Source organism: Homo sapiens, chromosome 15 (assembly GCF_000001405.40).
Source record: "Homo sapiens chromosome 15, GRCh38.p14 Primary Assembly".
In the NCBI taxonomy this organism is placed as follows: Eukaryota; Metazoa; Chordata; class Mammalia; order Primates; family Hominidae; genus Homo; species Homo sapiens.
The window spans coordinates 34072048-34082296 of record NC_000015.10 but is presented as its reverse complement, the minus strand read 5'-3'; the positions used below and the strand labels follow the sequence as shown (position 1 = coordinate 34082296).

The 10249-nt window shown below is 41.7% G+C and overlaps 1 protein-coding gene across 2 annotated transcripts in view; it reads left to right on the top strand.

The window, feature by feature from the left end:
* The first annotated feature begins 6971 nt into the window (after window positions 1-6971).
* AVEN (apoptosis and caspase activation inhibitor) overlaps window positions 6972-10249 on the top strand; it is a 223545-nt gene continuing 220267 nt past the window's right edge. Inside the window, exons 1-2 of one of the 2 annotated variants that reach the window (XM_047432882.1) lie at window positions 6972-7040; window positions 7652-7861. In XM_047432882.1, coding sequence (XP_047288838.1) covers window positions 7854-7861 — 8 coding nt within the window. In that variant the 5' untranslated portion in view covers window positions 6972-7040; window positions 7652-7853. Of the gene's footprint in view, window positions 7041-7370; window positions 7862-10249 lie in introns of those variants that run through there. The other variant, XM_011521818.3, reaches the window with a different exon arrangement.

Below are 10249 nucleotides of genomic sequence, written 5' to 3'. Positions count from 1 at the left end.
AGGTTGCAGTCAGCCATCATGCCACTGCACTCCAGCCTGGGTGACAAGAGTGAGACTCTGTCTCAAAAAAAAAAAAAAAAAAGTTCTGATGCAGAACATTTTATTAACTGTTTCTATTTATATTACATACACTGTTACCAAACTGGTTAAGCTATGAATGATTAGATGGGTCAACAGGTTAATGATAGAAGTAGGTCTTTTAAAATCGAGTCATTTATGAAAATAAAGTGTTAGAACACTAGCTAAATGTCGTTCATTCAACTAGTATTCTAATTTTCACTTAAAATTAGTGTTTTAGGCCGGGCACGGTGGCTCACGCCTGTAATCCCAGTACTTTGGGAGGCCCAGGCAGGCAGATCATGAGGTCAAGAGATCAAGACCATCCTAGCCAAGACGGTGAAATCCCGTCTCTACTAAAAATACAAAAATTAGTTGGGCATGGTGGCATGCGCCTGTAGTCCCAGCTACTTGGGAGGCGGAGGCAGGAGAATTGCTTGAACCCGGGAGGTGGAGGTTGCAGTGAGCCAAGGTCACGCCACTGAACTCCAGCGTAATGACAGAGTGAGACTCTGTCTCAAAAAAAAAAATTAGTGTTCTAATTTTCACTTAAACATTAAGTTAAAAAAATGACATTCTCCTTTGTAATTCAAAGGAGACATAGTAAGAGTCATATGACCAGAAACCATGTTTTAAAATTTCATAATTTACCTTGTGACATGTGTTTATCTGTGTAACAAACCTTCACATGTACCCCCAAACTTAAAAAATAAATAAAAATTTTATAATTTAGATTGTCAACATTTGCACAACACCTAATGACTGAGAAATTAGGAAGCACTTCCAAGGAAATTACTGTTTCATATGCTACATAAGAAACTGGTTATTTTACATGGATTCTAACAGCATCTGAATATAATCTATACCCCTTATATATTATGTATACCCCTTATCATATTACCTCTAAATATAATATATACCCCTTATGAAATGTATCAGTTGTGTATGAAAATCTTATATTTTCATAGAACCATCATCAAATGCTTAAGGTGCTTATAGGCACAGAAATGACTATATATTATTGGACAATATGGGGTTTAGTGCAAAGAGCCCCTGGTTAGCTGCTAACTTGCTTTGTGACTTTGAGCAAGTCACTGTCCTGGACCATGTCTTGTCTTGGTCTTTGTACTATCTCTAGCATCTAGCATGTAGGCACACCAATAAAAGTTTGTTGAATGAATAATAAATGGACCTTAAGTTTCCTCATCTATAAATGGAAGGATTTGGATTAGACCTGTAAATTTCTTTTTGAAATTTCAAATTTGAAATCTCAAATTCTGTTATACTTTTAGCCCAGTCCTAGTATTTCCTACCCTTAAGAACCATATGATCAGTGCTGGCTTTCTTATTTTACTTCCTTGGATTCTTTCTGCTATTTCCCATTTGGAACAAAGTATTGTTTTGCTCTTCTTTAGAGCCTTTGTTAGATTTGGTTTATATGTATCTCCTTTTATTTATTTTTAAAATTTTATTATATATATATATATATATTATTTCTTTTTCTTTGAGAGGGAGTTTCCCTCTGTCACCCAGGCTGGAGTGCAGTGGCACCATCTTGGTTCACTGCAGCCTCTGCCTCTCAGGTTCAAGCGATTCTTCTGCCTCAGCCTCCCGAGTAGCTGGGATAACAGGCGAGTGCCACCACCCCTGGCTAATTTTGTGTATTTTTAGTAGAGATCGGGTTTCACCATGTTGGCCAGGCTGGCTCCAAACTCCTGACCTCAAGTGATCCGCCTGCCTTGGCCTCCCAAAGTGCTGGGATTACAGGCATGAGCCGGTCACTATGTATCTTCTTTTAAATGTAAGTTTTGTGTTTTATAATTTTTCACATCTACTGAATTAAATCTGAACAGTGACTTTGTGCAAAATAAATTTTGCTGTCCATTCTTGCCAAAAAGTCCTGAATGTCCAGGATGATTTCTCCAGGACATCTCTATTGCTCCCAAGTTTCAAACAGTTTTTTGGGAGCCAAAACCTCAGGATTTACCCTAGATCTGGTTAACATTTTGAAAAGATACAGGATTTTACCTAAACTGCCCTGAGTAGAAAACCATCTTGTCATTTTTCCCTTATGCCTTCCCTGACAGGAGGGCAGATACTATCACACAGCATACTTCTCAGTAGTTGGAAGGGTTTGAAGGTCCTGATAAGCAGTGTCCATAAAGATAAGGGAGAGCTTTTCATTTAACTAGTCACTCAGACTTTCAGGAAGTTTTGAGTGTTTTTTGTTTCTTTTTTTTTGAGACAGTCTCACTCTGTTGCCCAGGCTGGAGTACAATGGCGCGATCTCAGCTCACTGCAACCTCCACCTCCCGGGTTCATGCCGTTCTCCTGCCTCAGCCTCCCAAGTAGCTGGGACTACAGGTGCCCGCCACTATGCCTGGCTAATTGTTTGTATTTTTAGTAGAGATGGGGTTTCACTGTGTTAGCTAGGACGGTCTCGATCTCCTGACCTCGTGATCCATCCACTTCAGCCTCCCAAAGTGCTGGGATTACAGGTGTGAGCCACCACACCTGGCTTGTTTCTTTTTTTTTTAAGTGCTCAACTAGAGTATCTTTTGTTTAAAAACTGTTACTGAAAATATTTTTATTAAATATTTTAAACCACTATTTTCATTTTTGCTTATTGCCTTTCGGGTCACATATAGACATACATTTGCATGGTTACAATCATGTATGTACATTTTGTATTTAAACCCAGCAAAAATTCTGCTAAGCACCAATTTCAGGTAACCCAACAGAAGCTAGTGACTGAGTCTTTTAATTCAGCTCAAAGAGTATGTTGAGATGGGACCAGTTGTACTGAGCTCTTCCGCATTTTAGGTGTGATTATTTTCATTATTTAGAGTCTTAAATTTATAAGGCTGGTGAGAATATCCATTTGGTTTAAATGTTTATGTTATTCAGGAGAACTTGAAAGTAGCTTCGGTAAAATTCAAATGGTGTCTATAAATTGTGGATATTGTTTTTATACTCTTGGTAAAAGATGAAGTATTGAAAATTTTAAAATGCCCCCAAAATAGCTCCAAATATTAGCTTATCTCTTTAGTTTATGGTAAAACGATCTTATTATGAGCACTAGGGGAACTGAAGCTTTCCACAGTGGCTTCTGTCTGGTAGGACTGAGCCAGCCAGGCAAGCAACCCTGAGAAGAGGAAGGAGTAAATTAAGGTCAAACATTAAACTGGAGGAATGAGTGGAACTGTAAAAACTAGCTATACGCAGCATTTCCAACAGAAAACTGTTGACAAGGCGTTTAATTCCACTGAAATTTAATAATCTATTGATTCATATTTGTACCTCTTAGATAATTTTGAAATCAAATTTTTCATATATATGAATGTAAATTTATTTCATTCCCTTTTAAAAATATTTAAAAATAATTTATAAAGATTGACTATATTCAGAGTATAAAATGTGATTATTTGATATACATTGTATTATGACTACCACAATCAAATTAATTAATACATCCACCATCACTCATGATGTAGTTAAGATCCCTGAAACTTGTTCATCTTATAATTGAGTTTGTACCCTTTGGCCAGTATCTTCCCATTTCTCCTACCCCTCAACCCACCATTTCATTCTCTGCTTCCATGAGTTTGGCTTTTTTAGATTCCACACATAAGTGAGATAAGGCATATAAGTTCTCGATGAGTTTATAATTATTAATATTCTTATTTTTCAGATGAGGAAACAGGTTAAACAATTTCCCAAACTCATCAGTGGGTAAGTGGTCTTAATCTAGAGAAAACTGTTAACTGCTTTCTGTAGTACTGCTCTCACATGCTAAACTGAAAAACATTAATATACCCATAGTCAACACATGGTATACATCTCTTCCAACCTGTCCACCCTCCTCCTACCTCTATTGGCATGATCTAGGGACTTGCCTCTCTCCTTCCAAACTCTCCTTAGAGAGAAAGCAGTGGTGTAGTCAAGAGAAATTGACTTCCAAGAGAAAGTAGTTGTAGTCCTAGTTTCTGGTAACTGGAGCTTTAGACACTAATCTTAAAGATGTTTCTAAAAGGCAAATCTGATGGGATCACTCATCAATTAAACCCTGTGTTGACTCTCATGGACTTCAAGACAAACATCTTTGGCCCCTGAACACAGTTCCTTCAGACTCACTTCTTGCCACTTCCCTATGTATCTCAAATTATTCACAATTCCCCTCTGAAAACTCCATGCTCTCTCACCTCTGAGCCTTTTTGAGTATCTCTTCATCTCAGCTCTCCACCCCATGCCTATTTTTTTCCCTTATCAACCTGTAACATCTTTTTTAGGACTTTCTACAGAAATCTTCCAGATGCTCATGAGGATCAGATAAGAGCCTCCTTGTCCCCCTTCATGCCTGGCTTATCCTATTATATATATAGCACTTCATTTTCTGAGATTACTTGTCTACTTCTCTGACTTCCCTACCTGGACCCTAAGCTCCTTGGACTGTAAAGCACTAGTAGTACAACAGTCCTGTCCTCAAGGAAGGGTAGGAAGAATATTAATCTCTCCTCTAAAATAGTTCTGGGATGGCTGCCATACATACAGCTCTATCATATTGTTGGGATCCTAACTCAAATCGTTAGACAAGGATAGAGATCAGAGACCCATGGTGAATTAAGTTTGTACTTTTCAGGGAATCATAAAGATACTAAGAATACAGGAAAAAACAAAAACCAGGAACCTTGCCTTGTAACCATCTCCTATCGCAGGTAAGCACATACTTACTTAGTACAGAATACATTGTGAAGTACTGTTGCCACGTATGTGCCAAGGGCTACTAGGTGAGGGGATATGATCATGAGCACAATAAGCATGAACTCTGGCTTCAGAGATGAGCATTTAGAGGGAGACACAGACATTGAATCAACCAAACACACACAGGTATCTAATGAAAACTTTGGTAGATGCTACCAAGAAAAAGTCATTTATAAGCTCATAAATGGGGAACCCGAATGGGTGGGTAGAGGGCAAATGTAAGAGCACTTCCATTAAAAAGTGACTCATAGGTAAGACTGAAAGACTAGGAATTAACCAGGCTGAGACTGAGAAGAGCGGGATAAGAATGAGGTGCTTCCTAGTCTGAGCTGAAGGAGGGGTGGGCCTGGAGCTTGGCTCTTGAAGGAACTGAAAGAACAGTACAGCTGGAGAGAAGAGAGGCGAAAAAGGTAGGCAGACATCGCCTGGTTGCATTGCAGGCCTGAACTCGCCTTATCTTCTGGAGGACAATACCCTGATTCTCTCTGGAAAAATGATAAGGGAAAGCCCTGTGTATGGTGTTCAGTGTGCTTGAGACAATGAGGTAGAACTGATCACAGATTGGGAGCCAGGCCAGCTTGGGTTTGAATCTTGTGAGTAACATGGTGGTGACTGTGGCTAATGACCATTAATAATAAGTAAAGTGGTGAAGTCATAAGGCTCCTTCCAATGACTTCTATCACTTCCAATCACTTCTAGTTGAAGCCTAGAAGTAATTATTCACTTTACTAAAGGATTCACTAGAAGCGTCCTTCACATAGTTCCCCCTAATGCACCTAAAATAGATGTGATTGCCACAGGCAAATCACACAATTCTGGAGGGACTCCCTCTTATGGAGACCTGAAGCTGGCTGTGACTGGCTGTGATCACCTGGCCATGATGTACTGATAACAGGTCTCTGAGCAAACTGTGGTATATGAAAATCATTGCCAAGAAAGCCTAGAATCTTTAGTAGAAATCTCAGAGTCCCAGAAACTTTGAGAGAATATGTTAGTTGGAGGAAAAATAAGCATTGTCTTCCCTCCTGCCTTGTTCTCTGCCTACCTCTGGCCCAACCTCAAATCTTTAAATGATGTAGCCCAGCAGAGGCCAGTGGCATAAAGACGGTTTCTCTCCCTTCATCCTCTTTGGAGCTGGTGGGAATTGGTTGGAAGGAAGGTTTCCGGTCTTTTTCAAAGCCTCTCAGAGGTCTCCTCATTCCTGGTAGGCCCTCAGCACTCCTACTGTGAACCAGCTGCTCCCACCTTGAGACTCTGTACTCACTGCTTTAAGTTGTGCTCTAATGTGTGTGATTGTATGCATTTGATTTTGAAAATTTGGAGAATTCTATGGAAAACTCTAATTTCTTTGTATTTCTACCTGATCTCTGCTCCTCCCTTGAGAAGAAGTTGGATTATGGAATAAGAAATTTAGGGTATATCTAGACAGGGCAAGTCTTCTTTCTGAAAAACACAGTACCTTGGCATGTAGTCCAGGAACTGGGAACCAAACTGAAAAAAAAAAAAAAAGATCAGAGGCCTGTGCTTGTGAGATCCTGTGAGTGGAATGTTGGATGTTATCCGCATTCATCTTGTCATTCCTCAGTCATCCTTCCTCTTCAAGCCTATATGTTTAGGCTTCAGTGCTAATTTTCCTTCTGTGCCAAAGAGCAGGGAATAAGAGGCCTGGAGAAGCAAAACGCTTGTTCTTGGGGAGGAGCATGTCCTTCAGCCACCACTGGGACAATTTTCTTTGTAGTTACTGTAGTTGTTCCATCCATCATTCTGTTAGTCTATGTTCCTAGAGGGCAGAGACAGTGTCTTATTCCCTTCCACATCCCCAAGCTTTCCAAATAGATCAATAACTATTTGCTGAACAAATAAGTAACCAAACAAAGGAGTAATTAGATTGCCTAGCTGGTGATTCTTGGATATAAAAAGATAGTGAATGATATGGTCTGGCTCTGTGTCCCCACCCAAATCTCATTTTGAATAGTAATCCAAATTGTAATCCCTATGTGTTGACGGAGGGACCTCGTGGGAGGTGATTTGATCATGGGGGCACTCCTCGCCATGCTGTTCTTGTGATAGTGAGTTCTCATGAAATCTGATAGTTTTATAAGGGGTTTTCCCCCTCTTCACTCTGCACTTCTCTCTCCTGCTGTCACGTGAAGAAGTACATGTTTACTTCCCCTTCCGCTGCGATTGTAAGTTTCCTGAGGCCTCCCAAGCCATGCGGAACTGTGAGTAAATTAAACTTCTTTCCTTTATAAATTACCCAGTTTCAGGTAGTTCTTTTTTTTTTTTTTTTTTTTTTTGAGCCAGAGTCTCGCTCTTTTGCCCAGGCTGGAGTGCAGTGGCGTGATCTTGGCTTGGTCCACTGCAACCTCCACCTCCCGGGTTCAACTGATTCTCCTGCCTCAGCCTCCTGAGTAACTGGGACTACAGGCGTGTGCCACCACGCCCAGCTACTTTTTGTATTTTTAGTAGAGACAAGGTTTCACCGTGTTAGCCAGGATGGTCTCGATCTCCTGACCTCATGATCTGCCCTCCTCGGCCTCCCAAAGTGCTGGGATTACAGGTGTGAGCCACCGCACCTGGTCAATCCTTTCCATTCAATACTACCCATCATTGGTCTACAGTTCGTTCAACTATAAAAAAGGAAAGTGTTTTTCTTGCTTGGTTATTATTATGGATTGAATTGTGTCCCCCCAACAAACAGATACATTGGAGTCCTAACTCCCAGTACTTCAGAATGTGACTGTCTTTGGAAATAGGGTCTTTAGGAGGTAATAAAGGTAAGATGAAGTCATTACGGTGGACCCTAATCCAATATAACTGATATCCCCCAAAGGGAGAAATTGAGACACAGAGACCGACACCAAAGAGAGAAGATGATATGAGGAGACACAGGGAGAAGATGGACATTTAACAGCTGAGGAACACAAGACTACCAGAAGCTAGGAGAGAGGCCTGAAACAGATCCTTTCTCAGTTCCTTCAGAGGGATCATGGCCCTGCTGACACCTTGATTTCAGACTTCTGGCCTCCAGAACTATGAAATGGTAAATTTTTGTTGTTCTAAACCACCCAGTTTGTGGAACTGTGTTGCTGGAGCCCTAGGAAACTAACACAGTTATTCTAAAATTTAAATATACTTTTTTTTGGTTGTTTTTTGTTTTTGTTTTTTAAGTTCCTCCATGGGCCAGGTGCAGTGGCTCATGTCTGTAATCCCAGCACTTTGGGAGGCTGAGGCGGGTGGATCACTTGAAGTCAGGAGTTCGAGATCAGCCTGGCCAACATAGTCAAACCCCATCTCTACTAAAAATACAAAAATTAGCTGGGTGTGGTGGCGTGCACCTGTGGTCCCAGCTACTCAGAAGGCTGAGGCATGAGAATTGCTTGAACCTGGGAGGCAGAGACTGCAGTGAGCCGAAATTGTGACACTGCACTCCAGCCTGGATGACAGAGCAGGACTGTGTCTCAAAAAAAAAAAAAAAAAAAAAAAAAAGAAGAAGAAGAAAAAAGAAAGTTCCTCCAAACAGTAATTGTTTTTTCTCAAGAATTCCGATGGAAATAGTTCCTGTAGACTAAGCTGTACTGGGTGCATGTAACAGACATGGAAAAGGACAGAAGTAATCTCTTTCTAATCTACGTTTAGTTATGGATAAGAGCTCCCTGGCTAGGTGCAGTGACTCACGCCTGTAATCCCAACACTTTGGGAGGCCGAGGCGGGTGGATCACCCAAGGTCAGGAGTTCAAGACCAGCCTGGCCAACATGGCGAGACCCCATCTCTACTAAAAATACAAAAATTAGCTGGGTGTGGTGGTGTGCACCTGTTATCCCAGCTACTCGGGAGGCTGAGGCAGGAGAATTGCTTGAACCCGGGAGGCGGAAGTTGTGGTGAGCCGAGATCATGCCGTTGCACTCCAGCCTGGGCAACAAGAGCGAAACTCCGTCTCAAAAAAAAAAAAAAAAAAGAAAAAAGAAAAGAAAAGAAAAAAGAGCTCCCTATGTTACTCGAAGCCTTATGATTTTTTTGTTTTTGAAGAGTTTGAATGACCAGATATTTTCTGCAAGATATGAGCATGAGGATTGCTAAACAGTATTTAACAGCTCTGTGTGTTTAAAAAAGTGTCTGTACAGGCCGGGCGCGGTGGCTCACGCCTGTAATCCCAGCACTTTGGGAGGCCGAGGAGGGAGGATCACGAGGTCAGGAAATCGAGACCATCCTGGCGAACACAGGGAAACCCCGTCTCTACTAAAAATACAAAAAAAAAAAAAAAAAAAAATTAGCCGGGCGAGGTGGCGGGCGCCTGTAGTCCCAGCTACTCGGGAGGCTGAGGCAGGAGAATGGCGTGAACCCGGGAGGTGGAGCTTGCAGTGAGTCGAGATCGTGCCACTGCACTCCAGCCTGGGCGACAGAGCGAGACTCCGTCTCAAAAAAAAGAAAAAGAAAAAAAAAAAGTGTCTGTACATAGAAAAAAGACTAGAAGGATAGATGGTAAGATATTTGGCAGAGATTATTTCTGGGTATTAAAATTACAGGTAGGCTGGGTGCGGTGGCTCACGCGTGTAATCCCAGCACTTTGGGAGGCCAAGGCAGGCGGATCAAAAGGTCAGGAGATCGAGACCATCGTGGCTAACAGGGTGAAACCCCATCTCTACTAAAAATGCAAAAAAATTAGCTGAGTGTGGTGGTGTACTGTAATCTCAGCTACTCGGGAGGCTGAGGCAGGAGAATGGTGTGTTGAACCCGGGAGGCGGAGCTTGCAGTGAGCCAAGATCTGGCCACTGCACTCCAGAGCCTGGGCAACAGAGCAAGACTCCATCTCAAAAAAATAATAATAATAAAAAGTAAAATAAAATAAAATTACAGGTAATTTTTTTTTTTGATACAGAATCTCTGTTGCCCAGGCTGGAGTGCAGTGGCCAGATCTTGACTCACTGCAACCTCCACCTCCTGGGTTCAAATGATTCTCCTGCCTCAGCCTCCTGAGTAGCTGGGATTACAGCACACCACCACACCCAGCTAATTTTTTTGTATTTTTAGTAGAGACGGGGTTTCACCATGTTGGTTAGTCTGGTCTCGAACTCCTGACCTCGTGATCTGCCCACCTCGGCCTCCCAAAGTGCTGGGATTACAGGCTTGAGCCACTGCGCCCGGCCCAGGTAATTTTTTATTTGCTTATTTGTTTTCTTAGAATATATGTATTATTATTATTTTTTTAAAGACAGGGTCTCACTCTGTCGCCCAGGCTGGAGAGAGATGGTGCCATCATAGGTCACTGTAACCTTGAACTCCTGGGCTCAAGAGTTCCTCCCGCCTCAGCCTCTTGAGCAGCTAGGACTACAGGCGGGTGTCACCATGCCTAGCTAATTAAAAACTTTTTTTTGGTAGAGATAAGGTCTTGCTATGTTGCCCAGGCTGATCTCAGACTCCTGGCCTCAA